Consider the following 22,268-nt stretch of genomic DNA (forward strand, 5'->3'; position numbering starts at 1 on the left):
TCTAAGCTATATGTCTATGTGTAAGTGTGAATGCATCTAAAGACATAAGTGATTAACTTCTTTTAATCTATAACTAAGGTCTGAGTCCTGAAGACCTTCCTCTGGAGCCTCAGTAAATTTACTTAATCTAAATGGGTACAGGTGCTGGGGTGATTACCCCTATCTTGTCTCCTGCTAAACTACAGAGGTTTGGGGAGTTCCTTCAGACCTCCAATAAGCTTGTTTATGGAGGCCTGGGGAGTTTCTTCAGATCCCCCCAATAAAACTTGTTTAATCCTAAATGGGTCCTGTTAACAATTCCTTTGTTATTTTGTCATGTTTTAAGGCCTAGGAAAGACCTAGGCAAAACTCTTGGTGGGCTTTTGTCATATTTCAGCCTTGGTATAAGGGCACTGGCTTTTGTTTAGCTTTTAATATTTAACTTAACCACTCAGTCAATACTGAAACAGTTGTTATGGAGGCCTGAATTACTGAGACCCAGCCTGCCACAATCCCAGCATGGAGGACTAGGCAGAAAAAGGGAGCATCCACTTTTTGGCATTCACCTAGAACTTGGCCTCATCAACAGGTAGCTAGGAACGATCTGAGACCTGCCAATGGCCGCTTCTTCTGTGAAGATAGTCCTACATGTGGGATCTGAGGGTCCAGATAGTCCTGTATTGTTAACTGCACCTGGAATGAAATCTCCATCTCACTGAACTGTTTGTTTTTATAATTTCACCATTTTCACTGGGAAGCATGTCTGTGGAGCCCCTCCTGGTGTCATGCTGGAAGTAGATATCTAAACATTTGGATTTTTTGGTGGGGGGGACTGTTTCCTTTGTCTGTTTTATACTTTTGCTTTCATAGCCCTAGATCCCCTCCATTGCCTTGTGATCCTTGATCACATCTGAGAAAGGACTGTGTGTTTCCCTTGAATTTATTTTTCTGTTTTCCAGCTATGTGTCTTGCGTGTGATCCTTTTGACTGGGAAATGGGCTGCTAGGCTTTTGATCTCCAAATGTTAGAATAAGAAGGACTTTATTCTATGGTTAATTTAATATTTAAGAGACCAAAATATATCTTATTATAATTTTCATTTATTTATCAGGGTTATAGAAAATTCCTCTAAAACCTTTTACCATTCTTTTTAGGATTCAGTGGAGTCACCAGAATTCCACTCCAACTCTGTAAGCAAGATGTTTTCCTAGATGTTTTCCTCCAGCAGGTTTCGGCTGTCACATAACACAACTGGAGATGCTACCCCCAGGGTCCTGTGGCTCACCCTGACACAATCACATGCAATCTCTTTCTTTATAGTTGTTGTGCTGTGGCTAATTGTGCTCATTTTATGTAATTAATTCCGCAGGATTTTAATGTGTGCTATTAAATCAAGTTAAAACATGATAATTGTTTGATTTAACTGCCTTAGAACACTGCGTTCAAATAGATCCCAGGGTAGACCAGAGGTAGTTCAGGCATCATAGTACCTAGGGCCATAAATTGTTACTAAAGTTTCTTATCCTCTAACAGCAACCCAGGAAAGTAAGGAACTCTAGTGCATTTACACCTGTCTGTATAGGAAGCAGATATTGAAAGCCGGCCAGAATAGGATATTCTGAAGGGTCATGATCAAAGTACTGAAGACTATTTTCTTTTATAAGAGGTAAAAAGAAGACAGCGAAAAATAGTGCCAGTTGCCTTAAGTAACCTGGTTATAACAAAACATGGAGCATGACTATGATAAGAGAAAGAACAGTTGGTGTGCATCTGGGAAGTTTTTACTGTATGCTTACAGTGCTCATGGTTCTAAGTGTGGAAAGGGAGACTGTGAAAAGTGATGTGAGATCTACTGATCAAACACTTTTTTTTTTTTTGAGACAAAGTCTCGCTCTGTCTCCAGACTGGAGTGCAGTAGCACAATCTCGGCTTACTGCAACTTCGGCCTCCTGGGTTCAAGGGATTCTCCTGCCTCAGCCTCCTGAGTAGCTGGGACTACAGACGCGTGCCACCACGCCCGGCTAATTTTTTGTATTTTTTAGTAGAAACGCGGTTTCACCGTGTTAGCCAGGCTGTTCTGGACTTCCTGATCTCGTGACTCGCCCACCTCAGCCTCCCAAAGTGCTGGTATTACAGGCGTGAGCCACCGCGCCAGGCCCAAACTCTTATTTTTTAAAATAAATTGGCTTCTGGTTTGACATTTTTGTTTTCAGGTCTAGGGAGATTTAGGACTTAAGAATACAAGATTTACTTTTATACATATATCCTTTTACTATTGTTGTGTTTAAAATAAAATTTCTATATCACAATATATGAGTCTGCCACGAGCGCTATGAGAAAAATAGATCATGTCCCACTTTGGTGGGCATGTGATGTTAGTAAAGACTTAAAAACAGTATGTATGACCTTTTGAAAATAAAACATTTCTTGGTTGACTACACCTTAACCACAGTAATTTCTTGAAACTATATGAGCACAACATTTATTTACAAAATTAACTATTTTTCTAGAACGAGTTTAGATGAGTGTACTTCCATTTAAGAAAATAAAATGAATTACAATTAGGATTAAAACAATAAACTAATACAGTAAAAACTTGCCATACATGAGGTCCAGAAATTTCAGTTGCGTTAAACACGGGGTGACGTTGTCGTGAGGTCAGTGAATGACTTGAGGGCCCTTCGCTGGTCCGGAGGCAAGAGCCAAATCGGTTCCATCCCGGTTGCATCTTGGCGCCACCTGGTGGCACGATTCTGCTCTGGTATCCGTATCAATGGGAATGGTTTGGGGTCCAGTAGCTCGCTGGAGAAAAAATAATTATCATTATTATATTAGGAATTCCAAGGAATTCCAGTTTCCACAGTTCTTTTTGTGAAGACTGATGAAGAGAAGCACTGAGTTACTAGGACCGTGGTTTTTTTCTTTGGCTGCCCGTTGCTCAAGCCTTTTGTCAGCACAGCAGCTGAAGTCAGGTGAGGTCCCTCCTCTGCTATAGCGATTCCCATCTTACTCCCAGGAGAAATCTCCAAGGCCCTCAGATCTTCTCTTCCCCCACATCCTCCCCACCTCTCTGGCCTCATCTAGTACCACTTTCTCCTTGCTCATTCTGCCCCAACTACGCTGGCCTCATTGCTGTTTCTGGATCCCACCAGGGTGGTTAGCTGGAACTCCAGGCTGCAGCGGTGAGTCCAGGTTTCCTCATGGTTTTTAAGCAATCCATGGAGGTAGGAATGGGAGGACGCCAGGAAGGCCATGTGCTTCTTACCTATGGAAATAGGGTTGCCTTCCATTATGCTCCTGGTCTCTTCCTCTTCACTTCCCACTACCTTCTCCTTCCCAAAGATAAAAAGGGTTGCCCCTGCCCTACTTCTCAAATAGAAGTTGGACGAGGGCAAAGAATAGAAGCCAACCTCTCTCTCTGTCTCTCTCTCTCTTTCCCTCCCTCCCTTTCTCTCTCTTTCTCTCCCTCTCTCTCTCTTTCCTTCCCTCTCTCTCTCTCTTTCTCTCCCTTTGTCTCTCTCTGTCTCTGTCCCTCTCTCTCCCACACACACACACACACACACACACACACACACACACACACACACAATTATATTAAAATCTCTGTTATTGCAAGCTGTTTTTGTACCCACTTTCTGCAGTTCATTAGGGAATACATAATTCCATGACTTCATTTGCGTATGAATAAAGCTAGTCACTTAAAGGATCAAACATTTTTACAAATAACTCTTATAATAAATAACTTTCTTAAATGTGTACTGTTCTACTCTGCTTTCTTAGTTCTGATTTGTCAAAGTTTATCACCACAATCATCATTTGTTATATCCCATTTTAATAAGGACATAAGTATATTGCAGAGGCAATTGTGATTTTTTTTTCTACCTACACACTGCAAATGACAACTGATTTGAGGCTTTTTGAGATCTCAACTTAGGGGTTTATATTTGCCTCAATTATTTTCCTATTTCTGAAGATTTCAACGGCTATTGTCGCTACCTTTAGCATACTCGCCTCTAGTAACCAATGTCTATTGACAATTCTAACTTACTATATTAGGATAATATCCCATGGGCTAAAAAGCCAAATAAAAATTTTATTAGAAAATATCAAACACCGGTCCGTGGTCTCTGAGCAAGGGTGTGGTGGATCATTTGCAGCATGACCTCCGCATATCCTCTCCTTATGTCCGCATCCGTGAGTGGTCTTCTTGACTCTGACTCTGGGCTTGATCAGCTGACTTGCTTAGCCTAAGAAGCAACTTTTGAGCCCTGAAATCTGGGGGCCTTACAGCTTCTTTTCTCAGAACCCTGAGACTACCTGGCGAAGAAGCTTGGGTTGTCCTCCTGGAGGATAAGAAATCACGTGGCAAAGAGAGTCCCAGCCAATAGCCAGCACCACCACACATGTGAGTGAGGACATTTGATACCACCTAGCCCGAGCTGAGCCTCCAGATGACTGCAGCTGCATGCATGACCCCTGGCAAAACCAGCAGAACTGCTTGACTGAGTCCAGTCCTGATTGTTCATTCACAGAGTGAGGAGCAAATGAAGGGGTCATGGGTCATGGTGGTGGTGATTTGTTACACAGGAAAGGGTAATTCATGCACAAGGCCTCTGCCATTTACCTTCAAATAAAGTAGCTGGGTTTGGTGAAGACCTCTGAAATATCTGTTTGGCCTCCAGAGGTGGGCTTTACTTATTCCAAAATTCTGGGCTTGGTTTCAGGTAACCGAGAGCCTTCCAACTAAATGCCATTTACTCACATTATGAAAACCTCATGGCTCTCCTAGAGATGTTTAAGCAATTTAAGGATAATGAACCACTTATGAGATTGGAAGGGAGACAGATAAGCTTAAAAGTGTTAGGAGCCTCTGCCAACCGAAACTCCATCAGAAATGAAAATGAAGTGTCTCTAAATGTGTTAAGAAAGTGACTGTAAACGTGGGATTCAATGCGAAAAATTCCACGCACCTCAAACTTTCAGAAATAGTGAATGCACTCTGTCCCTGCCTTTTGGTTTATGGCTTCCTCTTGAAACTCCTGTATTAAGAAAACTTCAACAACTGCTGTCAGCCAGATGCAGTCAAGGGTGCTGTGAAAGGTGCAAAGGTAAGTTAGCCCTGACTCTCATCTGATTCACAGTCTGTAACAGAAGACTCACATGCTAACAGCTACAAGAAGCAGCTCAGCCTCCCAAGTAGCTGGGACTACAGGCGCGTGCCACCATGCCTTAGCTATGAGAGAAGCCATCATAGAACCCATAATTGCTGTCCCTGAAACAGAAGTAGGCACAAATAGGAACTATAATAGAAGTAGGAACAAAGTACAGTAGGAGCAGGAATAGCCAGTAATCTGGGAGTCAGAGAGGTGTGTGTGTGAGCAAGCATGTGTGTGTGCATGTGTGCATGCAGTAAGAGGCAAGAGTGCAGACCACGTAGGCCTTGCAGACCGCTGTAAATGCTTGGCTTTTGTTCCTTGTGAGACAGGAATAAAGAAATGTCCAAGCAGAGGAGTGACAGGATAAGATTTGAGACATTATATATATATATATATATATATATATATATATGGCATATTTATATATATTTTACATATTTTTTATATTTATATATTATATATATTTTTATATGTAATATATTATATATAAAATTATATAATTTTACTACATATAATATATAAAATTATATAATTTTACTACATATAATATATAAAATTATATAATTTTACTATATATAATATATAAAATTATATAATTTTATATATAATATATATTATAATATATATTATATGCAATATATATTATATATTATATTATAATATATTGTATATTTTTGTATATAAAATATATAATATATAATATATTTATAGACAATAATATATAATATAATATATAAAATTTTATATATAAATACATATTTATATATTATATTATATATAATTTTATATAAAAATATATAATATATATATAAAATACATTTTTTTTTTTTTGAGAGGGAGTCTTGCTCTGTCACCCAGGCTGGAGTGCAGTGGTGCAATCTCAGCTCATTGCAACCTCCACCTCCCAGGTTCAAGTGATTCTCCTGGCTCAGCCTCCTAAGTAGCTGGGACTACAGGCATGTGCCACCACACCTGGCTAACTTTATATTTTCAGTAGAGACGGAGTTTCACCGTGTTAGCCAGGATGGTCTTGATCTTCTGATCTCATGATCCACCCGCCTCAGCCTCCCAAAGTACTGGGATTACCGGCATGAGCCACCGCACCCGGCTGAGATTTATATTTTGAAAGCATCTCTCTGTCTGCAGTGCTAAGAGCCAAAAGGTGGAGAACAAGTTGCCAGAACTTACGAGTCTTCTTAGGCCTCACTCACAGGCTCATGGGAGCCCAGCCTCCCCCAGGGTCCTCAGAACAGGGGTCCCAAAGTCCCTGAGGTAGTCCTCTCTTGGCTACCACCCCGGCACTCTTAACACAGTCTTGCATTTGCCTGCCATTTCTGTTGCTCTTCCTGTAGCTCAGACATTCTCCCCTTGTCCCTGATGGGCACCATGCTCAGTTGTGTCTTGATTTCATTGCCACCAGTCTCGTACTGCCCAGACTGTGCTACATTCTGGCTGCCAGCTTCTGTGTGCCTGGAGGATACCCTTCATTCTTACTTGAGCTGGCCTTGGTTATACAGGAATGGAGACAGCACCACCTTGTGCTCTAATCTCATACAGAGCTTTCAAACCCAAATCTTCTTCCAACCACCTCCTCCACCAGGAAGTTGGTTTAAATGGCTGGAAAGAACGTGCAGAGCCAAAGAAGCCTGAGCAGCACATACTCTGCGGGATTCAAGGCCATCCTTTCTGCCCATTCTAAACTGACCTTGCTCCTTAGAGCCCTGTACAAACACAGCATCCTCTGGTGTGAAGATGAGATCTCATGCATTCCCCAGAAGGTTCTGACCTTCCTTCATACAGCAGGTTCCTGGAAGGCCTACCTGCTGGCTCTAGTGGGTGAATATGATGAAGCCTGCAGGCTGCCTGGCCAATTACTTCATTAATGCTGACATGAAAGCACAGCACATCAAAATAGAAAACATGGTTTTTATGCCTTCATTTCCCAGTAGGCTTTTAAATAATTTACTTTTCCTATACATGGAGGAATTTATTTATGCGTATACCAACCAAATAGTCTTGATTTTTTAAAGTATGTATTCCAAGTATTTTTATCCTGGTTTCAGGTCACCTTGACTAATTTCCAGTTTAGCAAATATGGTGACCATAGCCATATTATGCCTCTGTCCCATAGACAAATCTAACAGAATGTTGGGTGTGTCCGCAATTTGTTTTTAATTACCTTTATAGATAGTTTCCATGTGTATTATTGTTTTTTAATCTCATCAGGTTCATAGAATTGTTCTAACAATTCATATTAGTTAACATCTTTTTCTGTTTTTCCATATTTTAAGAATTTGTCTATTTCCTGCAGTTTTTTTTTGTAAGGTTATAATTGACATATTTTTATGCCACCCCATAACATATCAGTTCATTTTAGTAATTTTGTATGATGGCCTCCTTAAAATAAATAATTAATGCTCCTCTCAACCTTCTAGATTTGTGCAGAGTTACAATTGGAGACTGTTAGAACTAGGAAGAATCTGAGAGCTTACCCTCAACTCCCATTTTGGGAGATGAGGAAATAGATGCAGAGCAATCCCGTCTCACCTGAAGCCCTGCCTCCAGGCAGCCGACAGAGCCTCACGACTCTATCAGAGAAAGTCTGTCTTGTTAGGTATACAGTGAAGAGACTGTATACCTTTCAAAGGAGTTGTCCCTCCTCTGGCCCTATGTGTGGAGAGGACCCAAGAGCAGACCCGGCAGAGTCTAGGGACCTGGCAAGTCAAGAATCTATCAATAATATCGCTACAACACATGAGTACCTGCTGGGGGTCAGGTGCTAGTCAAATGCTTTCTTTATTTCCTTGACAATTACTTACTGAGAAACTATGGGCCAGGCACTGTTCAAAGTCCTTGGGACTCTCCAGAGAGTAAAATGGTAAAACAGCTCCATCATCATGGTGCTTCTTTTAGAACCATTTTCAGAAAGCTTGTTCCCATCCTGGTTTCATTAGAGCAAAGACGACGTTCTTGTCACTCCTGCTGGGTCCTCCACCCCTGGCAGAGAGCCTGTAAGTTAATGGGTGGGTGGACAGTCCTTACGTGACCAAATTCATGTGTTTCCAAATCTTTGCCATTTCTCTCACCTCTGATAGGAGTAGAGCATTAATGGGTTAAACAGAAATTATCAGTTTAGTAGGCTCTCACCATGAAAGTTACAACAAATAACATTTTTAGGAATATTTAATGAACATTCCATGTTATTCAGATCTATGAACATGCAATTTGTCATTGAAGAAGTGAGGCCTTGGGAAGAAAGCAGCAGAATGCTTCAAAAGGTGTCTAATTTCCACCTACAAACCTATTAATAACAGCTCCTCCCAAACTCCGTACCTCCTATTGGCATGCCTCGTTAAGATGTAATTAATGGCCAAGGACCACCCTTTCTACTCCCCAAATTGTTGGCTAGTTGTTGAAGTTATGGGAGTTAAGAAACTCCACTATCCCTTGTCAATAAAGTTTCATTATATCCCACAGGGCACAATTGGCACCATTTACTGGCCTGGACAGAAAAAGGAATCAGGGGACTCATGAGTGTGGTTGCTTGAATTGGGAATGAGAGAACTTATGACAATGTAGCTGAGTGGAAATAACTGTTTTTAGAGTCAGATTTATGTAAGTGACTACTGAAATTAATTCAACAACAGTAGATATTGTAGGCAGCATGACTGCTTTATGTGCTGTTGCTAACTCCAAGGATTTCTAGAAGAATAGGACAATCCTAACAGTGCTGGTTTATTTTGGATATTTTTCTGTCTTGTCTAAGTAGCTGTGCCCTGGGTTTACATTTATTTATCTGTGAAGAAGGTTGCACTTAATAAAAGGCACTTGCTATGGTCATATGTTTCTTTCTGCCTTTATTCAGATGCAAACATAATTTTCTGTTAGTGACAATTGCCTGTGCCAGTCATTGGGCCCTTAATTCACTCAACAGATACTTCCTGAGCACTCATCAGACACTGATGGAGATAATGCAGTGAACAAAACAAAACCCTGGCCCTCCTTGGTAGAAAGAGAGAGACATGAAGCAAATATACAATTAAATATGTAACATGTTAGGTAGCGTTTAATACGATGGAGAAAAATTAAGCCAGGAGGGCCTGGGACAGACAGGAGAACTTGCCATTTTCTATGCGGTGACCGGGGAAGTATCTCTGATGTGAAGATAATTGAACAGAGAAAGGGGTGGGGGGCTGTGGATCTCGGGAAGAACGGTGTTCCAGGCAGAAAAGAAAGCCAATGCAACCCCTTGCAATGAGGCTATGCTTGAAGTGTTTGGGGAACAGGAGGAAGCCAAAATGGCTGCGGCCTATGAGTCAGCAAAGAGTGGCAGGACCCATGGGCAAGGGGGCAAGGGTCCCCATCACACCAGGCCTCAGAGGTCTTGTAAGGACCTTGGCTTGGCATGGAGAGATGGGAAGACCCTGGAAGGCTTTGATTAGAGGAGTGGCATGAACTAACTTAGGTTTGAAAAGAATCACTTTGGTTGTTATATGGCAAAGCAGATGGTGGGAGGACAGGCGTGGGCACTGGGAGACCTGGCGAGGGTGTTTGTGATAACCCAGTGGAGAGATGATGGAGGTGGCTGCAGAGGCAGTACAAAGTGATCCCATTGACTCATCTGTTCCGTGTGGATGTGTCTGTACCTTTCCCACAAGAACACAAATGTCAGATGGGCAGATATGCTAGCTTCTATTTCCTTTTGATTTTTATTTTACAGATAGGGTCTTGCTGTGTCACCCAGGCTGGAATGCAGTGACGTGATCATAGCACACTGCAGCCTTGAACTCCTGGGCTCAAGCAATCCTCCCACCTCAGCTTCCCATGTATGTGGAACTATAGCCATGAGCCACCAAGTCTGGCTAATTTAAAAAAAAATTTTGTAGAGATGGGATCGCACTGTGTTACACAGACTGGTCCTGAAATCCTGGGCTCAAGAGATCCTCCTGCCTTGCCTTCCAAAGTGCTAGGATTACAGGCATGAACCACCATGCCCAGTCCCCTATCTTCTATTTCTTGAGTCCTTCCATAAGCACCTTGCATAGCTGGATAATCGAAACACAAAAGTCATCATGGAAAGAAGCAGCAGCCATTGCTGTTGGAGACTGTGAACAAACCATTCAGCCTATCCATCAGGATACCCGTCACCTACCTCCCGGTTCCTTCAAAGGTACTGGGAAATCATTCTGAAATTCTGTGAATCAGATCAATTTAAATCACTTCCTCCGACATGATAAATATATGATACATACCACTCATTTCATTGTCCATATAAAATAAAAATCCAGTATAAACTGTGAAACCACTGGACTTTTTTCTCTTCTTTCCCTCATTTTTCCCATTTGCTTGTGGGTGTCCCAGGAAAAAGTCCCAAGTTTGATGTCGTACTTGCTTCAGTTTCTTTTTTTATTATTAAATGTGGTAAAATATTTGTAACATAAAATTTACCATCTGGGCCATTTTTAAGTGTGCATTCGATCGTGTTAAGTGTCTTTATATTGTGTATCATTGTCCAAGCTTTAGTTTCTTTTTCTGCTAGGTCTGGCAGGCCTGGAAGCCATATTGAGTGTGGCAAAATTCTCCATCTATTCTTCTACTGTTTTTCTATTAATGTGCTTGGTGCTACATTTTAAGAAACGTCCCTCTTGTCTCACGGTCTGAAAACTACCTTCTTTTCACAGGTGTCGGGTGTCATCCTACTCTTCATAAGTTAAACACTCCCTTCAGCTTTCCCTTTAAAATGTACGTCAAGGTCACGGGTCACATGGCTGGTCAGTAGCAGAAGCTTCCATCCTGATTGCTGGTCCTGTTCTCTTTTCATTACCTGCTATTATCTCTTCTGGACCCACTTCTTTCTCTTTTGACTTCATCATCAGTTAACAATGATTGAACACTGGGCACTTCTAAAAGCAATGCCAGAGCAAGCAGCTGCCCTAAAGGAGTATGTCAAGTATAAGAGGCAACTAGCAAATAGACATAGATATTGAAAACACAAATGACAAAATCTGTAACCACAGCCATGACAGCTCAACCCATGCAGATATGTATATATGAGTTCTCAGTGCCCAAGTAGGTGGAAAGATGAAGTGGGGGAGGGTAGGATGACTTCTACAGACACTGGAGCCCCAGGGGGCCCAGTCAGAAAAGGCAAGACAGGCAGGGGTGGAGCTCAAGCGGAATTTTAAAGGTTTCAAAGCTCATGATTTCTTAGAGGCAGAAGGTGATCTTTTCTCAGAGGCATAGAGAAGGTTCAGAAAGTTTGCAGAAAGCAATCAAAGTAGAGAGGGTGGAGCGGAATTTGTGGGAACTGAGTGAGGTTAGGGCAAAAATACTTCAAGTGCATGTTATTTTCATTTGGTAGGAAAAGCAACTGGTAGCCACTGTTGGCATTGAAGAAAGGAAATCCAGGTGACACTGATGAGAATCTGCTTTTACCACATTTGAGATGTCTGGGGAGGAGCTGAGACTGAAATAAGGAAAGTCAACTAAAGGCGTTGATCAAGAGCCTGAGCTTGGGCTGTGACGTCTGAGTTTTTTTGATGTTGGGACCAAAGGAAAATTATGGCAATGAGGACTTAGGAATCAAGGAGAAAATAAAGAACTCAGTCTGAAAAGTTTAATTTTACATGGTAGTGAGATACACCGATGAGAGAGTACTAACAATGTGGAAATCATACAGTGAAAGAGAAATTGAGAAGTTAGTGATATAAATCTGAGAGACATATGTTCCATGTTAGAACAAAGGACACAGATGATTTAGGCAAAATAATGAACCAAAAACGGACCTTGGGTGAAGAAACATCTCAGCAAAGGAAACAAACAAACTGGTAAGAGGAAAACTACTAGTCAACAGTAGTGGCGACCCCACATGCATGCCAAGCCCTTCACCTCATTATGGGGAGAGCCAACGGAAGTGGTCTCCATCAGCCTTGTGCCTTAGAAAGAGCATATATTTTAATATATGTACAAAAATACGGGAGCATTTGCAAAGAAACATGTCTTTAGTGCAAGCTAATAGCATGTGGGCTAGGCACATTGTGCTGATAAAGTGATAGAATAAGAATAGTTATTTTGAGAAGATTCCAGATAAAATGTGTGGGAAGCACTTTCAGCAAATCATTCCGCACTGAGAAACAACTGAGGTCGTTAGAAAAGAGGACCAAGCTATGCACACTGTAGAGCAGTCAGGAGTAAATAAAATAGCTTATTATCTAGGTAGTGGTGTGAAATCTGGAGAACGTTAAGGAAAGTAAAGACCCCAATTCACTGCCAAAAGGAAAAAAATAAGCTGGAAGCTGAGTCTTGCAAGAAGCTGCCTTTCCTTTTGTTCCTAAGCAGGTAGCTACAGATAAAAGGTTAAACAACACCACAGGTAGCTACTCTGTGTTCACCTTATCTTACATAAAGTGCTGATATACTGAGTAATTGACTATTCCCCTACCTGCTCCTTTTCTCCTGCAACTTGTGGATTACCACACCCGCGCTTTTTTGCTCTAGACTGCTTTTTCCATTTAAATATTGAAGCCCTGGAGTTCAGCTTTGGAGAAAGGCACAGACCGCAGACTGTTTTCTGTGATTCCATGTTATTTTCTTCTGGGTATGTTCTTAACCTTGGCAAAATAAAATTCTGAAATGATTGAGACCTGTCTCAGATACTTTTTGTTTTACAGTTGAAATATTGGAAAGGTAATAATGGCAATAATTCACTCCTCGGTTTTTTTTCTTTGGTAAAGTTAAAAAGCTATGAAATTTTGTCATGTATTGCCAGGTGGTACCAATACATTTTAAACGTATTATCAAGGTGACAGCCCCATTAATTCTGAGAGGATAGTTTGGAACCCAGAAAGCATATTTTAAAAGAAAAAGGTAGTAGCTGGGTGTGGTGGCTCATGCCTGTAATCCCAACATTTTAAGAGGCTGAGGTGAGAGGATCACTTGAGCCCAAGAGTTTGAGACCCACCTGGGCAACATAGTGAGACCCTGTCTCTCTCTACAAAAATAATAATAATCATCATAATAATTTTTTTTTTTTTTGGAGATGGAGTCTCACTCTGTCGCCCAGGCTGGAGTGCAGTGGCACAAACTTGGCTCACTGCAACCTCCACCTCCCAGGTTCAAGCAATTCTTCTGCCTCAGCCTACCAAGTAGCTGGGATTATGGGTGCCCGCCATCATGCCCTGCTAATTTTTGTATTTTAGTAGAGATGGGGTTTCACCATGTTGGCCAGGCTGTTCTCGAACTCATGACCTCAGGTGATCCACCAGCCTCGCCCTCCCAAAGTGCTGGGATTACAGGCATGAGCCACCATGCCTAGCCACAATAATAATATTAATTAAAAGAAAAAGCTAGAATCCTAGCAGTTCTCTTCTGTCGATAAAGTGTGCCACCCAAGGGGAGAGAGCCTGGCAGGGGTGTGTCCTGCAATGGAAATGCAGAGTTGCCAGTGAGTTACCAAAGCATCTTACTAATGGTGGGTGTATTAGTCCATTTTCACACTGCTAAAAAGAACAGTCTGAGACTGGATAATTTATAAAAGAAAGAGGTTTTTTTTTTGTTTTTTTTTTTTTTTTTGAGACGGAGTCTCGCTCTGTCGCCCAGGCCGGACTGCGGACTGCAGTGGCGCAATCTCGGCTCACTGCAAGCTCCGCTTCCCGGGTTCACGCCATTCTCCTGCCTCAGCCTCCCCAGTAGCTGGGACTACAGGCGCCCGCCACCGCGCCCGGCTAATTTTTTGTATTTTTAGTAGAGACGGGGTTTCACCTTGTTAGCCAGGATGGTCTCGATCTCCTGACCTCATGATCCACCCGCCTCGGCCTCCCAAAGTGCTGGGATTACAGGCGTGAGCCACCGCGCCCGGCCAAGAAAGAGGTTTAATTGACTCACAGTTCAACATGTCTGGAGAGGCCTCAGGAAACTTACAATCATGACAGAAGGTGAAGGGAAAGCAAGGCACCTTTTTCACAAGGCTGCAGGAAGGAGAAGTGCTGAATGAAGTGGGCAGAGCCCCTTATAAAACCATTAGATCTCCTGAAAACTCACTATCATGAGAACAGCATGGGGGAAACCACCCCCATGATTCAATTACCTCCACCTTGTTTCTCCCTTGACATGTGGGGATTATGGGGATTACAATTCAAGATAAGATTTGGGTGGGGACATAAAGCCTGACCATACCAGTGGGTGTGCAGTGTCATGCTGACTGGGAGGTTGGCTACCACGGATCAGGCACCCTTCAGAGATCCAGTAAGCTTTGGGCAGGCGGTGGGTTCTCATAGCCTGCACCTCAGCTGTGGGGCTCAACTCCAGAAAAATCTCACAGCACAGTGAACAGCGACCCCTCTCAATTCACACAGTCTGCAGTGCTGCCTGGCACCCTCCAGGGTTTCTCAATTCAGTTGTGTGCCTCTTCTCTGGAGCCTCCACCCTCCACCTCCAAGGGTCTTCATGAACACTTTATTCCCAGCAGATGACATTGAGGGTTGCTCCCCAGAGAATATGAAAGATGTCAGGGAGGAATTACTTCAGCTCTCCACCACTGAGTCTACAAACCTCTGTCATCACCCACTATTCTCTCCTTGACTCCTACTGCAGAGGAAGATGTCCTCCAACTAAGGCCAGTCCCTTCACCTGCAGGTTGAATCCTGTCCCCTTCCAACTTTCAACAAGTCTTGTGGCCTCCTTCATCTCTCTGCCCCTGTGCATTCATCTTTTTCCTTTAGGTTCCTTTCCTCTACCATTTAAATTGGTCTTAAGTCTTTCTCATATTAAAAATCAAAACTACACAAAAACTGCCTCTCTTAAAGATTTGTCTTCCTCTTCTTCCTCCTCCTCCTCCTTCAGCACCCACTGTTTCTCTCCAATTTTCTCAGAATAGTTATCCACACTCACTGCTCCATTTCCTCACCTCCTACTCATTCCTCATTCCACTCCAGCTGGCTTCTGGGCATGTTATTCCACCAAATCTCACTTCACCAAGATCACCAGAGACCTCTATGTTAAGTTTAACCATAGGCATTTTTCAGTCTTCAGTGAACTCATCTTCCGCAACAGTCAGCCCTGTTGATCCCCCTTGCTCCTTTCTGAAGGAATCCTCTCCATTGGTTTCTCTCCTTCCACAAGTCCCTGGATTTCTTTGACCTCTCTAAAAGCTAAGCCTCAGATTCCTTTGCAGGCCCTTTCTTCTGTATCTGGCCAATAGATGCTTGGATTCCTTGGGACTCTAAGCCCTTTTGTGCTTTGTGTTCTCTTTCTGACTCTCAAAATAGGCAATTAAGTCCTTTTCTATGGCTAATTTTTTTTGTAAGATGTTACAATCAGATCTGGAACTTAAAAATTATCCAGTTCAATATCTTACTTTATACAAGGAAAAGCAGTCACTGAACAAGGACATGACTGACCTTGCAGGTCAGAACTGAGGTCTCTGTTTTTATTTAAATGTTCTTTCACCCTCACCACACTGTGATCTGCAAAGAGAGAATTAAAAGAGCTTGAAATTTCAACTGCCTCTTTTCCAGAAAAAAATCAAAAGCGGTTCTAAATTCATATAGAAAAACAAGGGACACTGAAAAGCCTAAATAATCTTGAGAAAGAACAAAGTTGGAAGACTTGCACTTTCCAATTTCAAAAGGTACTACAAAGCAACTGTAATCAAGACAGTGTGCTGCTGGTACAGGGATAGACATATAGTTCAAGGGAATAGAATGACATAGTTCAGAAAGAAACCCATATATAAATAATCAGTTGATTTTCAACAAGGGTACCAAGACTATTCAATGGGGAAGTAACCTTGTCAACAAATGGTGCTGGGACATGAGTCTATTTTTTTTATACGGTGTGAGATTAGGGGTCTAACTTCATTATTTTGAAGACCTAAATGTCAGAGCTAAAACAGTAAAGCTCTTAGAAGAAAACATAGGAGTAAATATTCATGATTTTAGATTAGGCATCAATTTCTTAAATATCAAACAAAAAGCACAAGCCACTAAAGAAAAACAGATACTTTGGACTTCAGAGTAAAAAGACAACCTACAGAAAGGCACAACGATTTTGCAAATTATATATTTTGAGTTTAGCATTCAGAATATACAATGAAAAAGTCAACAATAAAACTCAACAATAAAAAAGTCATGAATGAAAAATGGGCAAAGGATTTAAGTAAGCATTTATCTCAAGAAGATACACAAATGATCAATAATCACCAATGAAATGTCTAACATCATTCATTATTAGGGAAATGCAATTTGAAACCACAATGAAATATCATTTTCCACCCATTTATGATGACTAGAATAAAACTTTCTTTAAAAAACTGAAAATAAGAAATATTAACGAGGATATAGAGAAATCGGAACCTTCATATATTGCTGGTGAGAAAGTAAAATGATGCAGCCACTATAAAAAACAGTTTGACAGTGTGATAGTGTGATATAAAAAGACACAATATATTTGGCTTTTGTCTCTGGTTTCTGTAACAGAGCTCCTAAAACGCTAGAGATTTCTTGAGTGATGGGGTGAGACAGCATCTTTTGTTATTCTTAAAAAACCCCTTTCATCAATACCTGAGTGTGTGCTAATGAGGTGACTCTTGGAGGGTGAGGGCTGGTTGCTGGAGGTGATCAACAAGGTGATCAAAGGGATAGAACTTTCAGCCCCACCCCCGACCTCCAGGGAGAGGAGAGGCTGAGCGTTCACTTAATCACCCATGGCTAATGATTTAATCACCCCTGCCTATAAAATGAAGCCTCCATTCAAACCCAAAAAGTTGGAGTTTGGGGGAGCTTCCAGGTTGGTGAGCAAATCAAGGTGCTGAGAGGTTGCTGTGCCTGGGAGGGCATGGAAGCTCCATGCCCTTTTATTATTATTATTTCTTATTACATTACAGTATCACAGGTGGTTCCTCAATTATGAAGTTACCATAGGACCCAGCAATTCCCCTCAGGTATATACCCAAGAGAATAGAAAACATATATTCACACAAAAACATGCATATGAATGTTCCTAACCACATTATTCATTATTATAGCTAAAATATGGAAACAGCCCAACTGATGAATGAATAAACAAATTTGATATATTAATACAATGGAATATTATGCAACCATTAAAAGGAATGAAGTGCTGATGAATGCTTCCCATTAAAAGGAATGAAGTGCTGATGAATGCTTCAACATGGATGAATCCTGAAAACATTATGATAAGTGAAAGAAGCCATACACACAAAACTACAAAATGTACGATTCCATTTATATGAAGTGTCTAAAATAGACAAATCCATACAGAAAGAAAGTAGGTTAGTGGTTGCCAGGGAAGGGAAGTGGAAGGAACTAGGAATGGTTACTCACAGGTATAAGATTTCTTTCTGCGTCAATGGAAATATTTCAAATAAGATAGTGGTGATGAGTATACCACATCATGAATATTCTACAAACCAGTGAATCGTGTACTTTAAGATGGTGAGTTTTATGTTATGTGGATTTTTATCTCAATAAAAAATTGCAAAAAAAACCCTTCAAAGTAATATTTAATTCTTTTTCTTCTCTGTCCTCCCTACTTGCCACAATTATTCAACCATACAGCCCCAGGCCAACTTAGCGACCTCTTAAAAATTTCCTTTGCTTCTCATTCCTACTGCCATATATTCAATAATAGCCTCCCACCTGGTCTTCCTTCTTCAGTCTCTTCAGTCTTTCCCAAAGCTCTTGAATCCTACATGAACCCATGCCTCGGTCAAAATATTACAGGCTGCAGCCAATCTTCAAGTGGCATACAGGCCAAACATCCATTTATAATATGGTTGGAATTCCTAACACATTTTATCATAGATCTAATGCCATACAATAGGTGGAGGTTAGATCCTCACGCAACTCATGAAAGCATGTTTCATCTTCGAATAACTGAGAGCTAGTTCTAATAGTACTAGAGAATCTCATCATTGCAAACATTGTTTTTGTTGGAAAATAAGCTCAGAGTTCTAATTTGTACTCCCTTGATCCAAGCTGCTGGTTCCTGTTTCCCAGAGTCAGGACCTGGGGGAGGGGCTACGGGAGGCAGGGGATTGAGTGGGCAGCAGTGGGTCACTGTGGATGGGGTGAATATCCTTCCATTATAACCACAGAGCCCTGTCTCTGACTGGAGTTACCTATTCAACCCTATTCTTTGCTTTTCTTTACACTGCCTTTTCTTGATGCCTTTAACCAGGGCTTCTGTCTTGTCCACTGTAAAAGAGAATACTCCATCAAAGCTTGTGTGCCTTCCAGGTGTGGACCCCTGGGGCAAGCTGGTAAGTTGGCACCTTTCTTTTTTTTTTTCTTTGACACAGAGTCTCACTCTGTTGCCCAGGCTGGAGTGCAGTGGCGCGATCTGGGCTCACTGCAAGCTCCGCCTCCCAGGTTCATGCCATTTTTCTGCCTCAGCCTTCAGAGTAACTGGGACTACAGGCGCCTGCCACCATGCCTGGCTAATTTTTTTTTTTTTTTTTTTTTTTTTTTTTTTTAGTAGAGACAGGGTTTCACCATGTTAGCCAGGATGGTCTCGATCTCCTGAACTCGTGATCCACCCACCTCGGCCTCCCTAAGTGCTGGAATTACAGGCGTGAGCCACTGCGCCCAGCCCAAATTGGCATCTTTTCTAGCAATGCTTTCTGCACTTACTCACTGAGGTCAAAGAGGGACTGAATTTTATATTAATATACAAAACAGATTCCATAATAATTCATGTCTGCCAGCAGAAGTGTTCTTATAAAATTTGGCAAATTGTAGATCAGTTTTCTGCGGTTCATGTTATCTCCTCTGTTTCCTCTGTAATTTTATAAACAAGACAACTTCTCGGAGAAGTACATCAAATGGCTTTATGTATAAATAAGAGGAATCTCTGTAAATGCCACTACATCATGCATTATTTGATTTCACAAATTCAATTCGCTGCCTGCCTGAAGCTAACTGTAACCATGTCACAAAAATTCTCAACCTAGACAGAGCAGTGTGATAAAGAGTGTTTGCTTGTTTTTTGGTTTTACATTCTGCTTGTTTTCATTCCCAAAGTTGCTGCCTTGTCATTTATGTAAAGACTGTGTCTGGAAACCTGAGTTAACTGGAGTCCTCTTGTAAAATTTGTGCCAGTGATAGTTGACACTGTAGTATCACAGGGACCACCAAACTTATTTGTATTAGTATGTTTTCACACTGCTGATGAAGACATACCCAAGACTGGGTAATTTATAAAGAAAAAGAGGTTTAATGGACTCACAGTTTCATGTGGCTGGGGAGGCCTCACAATCATGGCAGCAGGCGAGAGAGAAAATTGGAGCCAAGCGAAAGGCAAAACCCTTTATAAAAACATCAGATCTCATGAGACATATTCACCACCAGGAGAACAGTATGGGGGAAACCGCCCCCATGATTCAGTTATCTCCCATTGGGCCCCTCCTACAACACCTGGGAATTATGGGAGCCACATGGGAGCTGCAATTAAAGATGAGATTTGGGTGGGGACACAACCAAACCATATCACAATCCCACTTAATCTTTCCTTGCTTCCTAACTGTGAGCTATGCAACCTTTGGAATTTTATCTAAGTATTTCATTTTTGCTCAATTACCTGTTATACTGGAGGAGAATAAGAGAGAGAAGGCATTTTTCCTCTTTCTGTTTCCTCCTTAATTTTTCTTTCTTAATTCTAGGCAAAGACATGTTAATGATAATGTTGGTTTGGGGCACACAGAAGTCTGTTGTCTTCAAAACTGCAACTATACTGGCAGCTAACTCCAGTGATTAGCAGAATTGCTGCTAATTAAGGTTTAAGAAAAGCAAGCATGCTAATTCTCAAAGCAGTCTTTGATAGAGTGGATCAGGTCAGAGTATTCTGGTGTGGCTGTTTTCTTCTTTAGACTCTTAGATACTGGTTTCGTATCACCTGCGCTACTTCATGCTTCTTAGTATCTTGTTTTTTCATTTTGTTTTCTGACACACATTGCTCTGTTGTGCATTGGCATTCGACCTGGACTGCTTTCTGTTGAGTTGTTCCATTCTATAGTACCCATATACATCATACACAATCTCTGCACAGAATCATACACATAGGGCTTCAATAATGACTGCTTCTCTGCTTTCTCTCTGAGTACCTTCTGCACCCTCGATGTCTTCATTCCAGAGTGCTTATGAAGCGGGGCTGCTGTCAGATCTCCAATCATTTCTTATGAAAGGCTGGATAAGCATTGGACTACTTCCTAGAAATGTCTCACTCATGTAGATTTTGTTCCCAAAGCACTGCAGTCTTGTCATCAGAATCACTGCCTACTCTGAGCTTGCTGTCAATTTACCACTTTGAGTGGGAAAAGCATTGTGAGGCAGGAGGCAATGAGCTTTCTAGTACAAACAACATTTGTTTTTGGTTTTGGCTTTTTTTTTTTTTTTGAGATGGAGTTTCGCTCTTGTTGCCCAGGCTGGAGTGCAATGGCGTGATCTCGGCTCACCACAACCTCCGCCTCCTGGGTTCAAGCGATTCTCCTGCCTCAGCCTCCTGAGTAGCTGGGATTACAGGCATATGTCACCATGCCCGGCTAATTTTTTGTATTCTTAGTAGAGATGGGGTTTCTCCATGTTGGTCAGGCTGGTCTTGAACTCCCAACCTCAGGTGATCTGCCTGCCTCAGCCTGCCAAAGTGCTGGGATTACAGGTGTGAGCCACCGTGCCTGGCCAACAACATTTGTTAAACAAGCAATTATCATTCTCATGAGGCATTTTCTCTAATTGTTGGTCACTGTTGGTGATAAGGAATAGACACACACACACACACACACACACACACACAATTTTGTGTGTAGAGAGGAGGGCAAGTTATTTACAAATAGTTTTTATCTTGGAGATATTATATGTGCCTGTGTGGATTATATCTACCTGTGAATCCCATTCAGTTATTTGCACGTTGCCAAACAAATATGAGACATAAAATCCTCAACTGAATCAACCCATTTCAAAAGCCCAGTCTGCACAGTGAAAAACAACATGTTTTCCAAGCTCAGAACCAACTAACTTTTGCAGCCTAAAATGCACAGCATTAAGTCATTTATATACATATATATGCATATATTTTAAAGAAATTATTCCAAAGTAATTATGTGCTATAAACAAATGTTAGAGAATATTTAAGTTTGTTTATGTCAGGAAAATTAGCAAAGAAGATCTTGATTGACTGAATGGAACTGCCCACTTCCAGACTCCTTTTAGCCCTCGCAACTCCAGGTGTTCTGCTCTATTGAAGTATAAAATGGGTTATCATGTTTCTAGAGAATATCAAAGAAGTCAGGTGGGAAGTGGATTTCAGAAATGACATACTACCCAACCAGGATCTGGTTGTTCCTGACACTGACTGGATGTATTGTAGTATCTTCAGATTGGAGCACCTCCCTGGATTTGTTTTTGGGATTCTTCACTATTAGAAGGACTGAGGGGCCACATTAGAAGTGGATATTCTGCAGTCAGCCTAAATCCCATGTGGAAGTGGATTCAACCATTAAAAGGAATGAAGTACTGATGTGTGCTTTAACATGGATGAATCCTGAAAGCATTATGACAAGTGAAAGAAGCCATACACAAAAGGCTGTGTATTGTATGATTCTGTTTATGTGAAATGTCTAAAATAGGCAAATCCATACAGAAAGAAAGGAGGTTAGCCTAGAAGGGAGAGTCTAGAACACCAGTAAATGCTGGGTTTCTGGCTGTGTCTTGCAGAAGAGCCTCAATTTTGTGCTTATACTGAAGGTATGTCTAAGCTGGGTCCAAGGTAATTGTTAGCTTCTCTCCATGAATCTTTGGCAGAGGAATGCTTCAGTGTCCATGAGATATATTTGTGTGGAACAGAGGAAGGCAGCTATGGATATTTCCCCACCTATTGATGATAATTAAAAATCACCCATGCCTGGATCTTTATGATCAACTTGGGCCTTCAAAAATTGGTTTTTGTTTCCTAAGTCCTATTGGGATTTCTGCCCAGCCAGATTTGGAGATAAGTATTCCCCAATCATTGTGCTATGATCCTTATTTCCCTCTGTCTGAATGGATTGGGATGTTATTATTTTGGCTTGCATTTGCACGAATATGGCAATCAATCTTGAGATGTAATTTGTATTGGGCTACC

At 41.4% G+C, this 22,268-nt stretch overlaps 1 protein-coding gene across 1 annotated transcript in view, besides 1 other annotated feature; it reads left to right on the forward strand.

Moving 5' to 3' along the window:
• The window catches only part of SLC35F3 (solute carrier family 35 member F3), a 419,836-nt gene that overhangs the window by 158,634 nt on the left and 238,934 nt on the right, over nt 1–22,268 (forward strand). The window lies entirely within an intron of this gene.
• Nucleotides 9,506–10,705: an enhancer, noted in NCBI's record as "BRD4-independent group 4 enhancer chr1:234208561-234209760 (GRCh37/hg19 assembly coordinates)". NCBI's record gives its function as "activates an origin of replication core promoter dependent on BRD2, P300/CBP, MED14 and CDK7 cofactors, and independent of BRD4, by STARR-seq in HCT116 cells {active_cell/tissue: HCT116}" and the evidence as "EXISTENCE:reporter gene assay evidence [ECO:0000049][PMID:35650434]".

The sequence above is a fragment of the Homo sapiens genome, chromosome 1, assembly GCF_000001405.40.
Source record: "Homo sapiens chromosome 1, GRCh38.p14 Primary Assembly".
Lineage (NCBI taxonomy): Eukaryota > Metazoa > Chordata > Mammalia > Primates > Hominidae > Homo > Homo sapiens.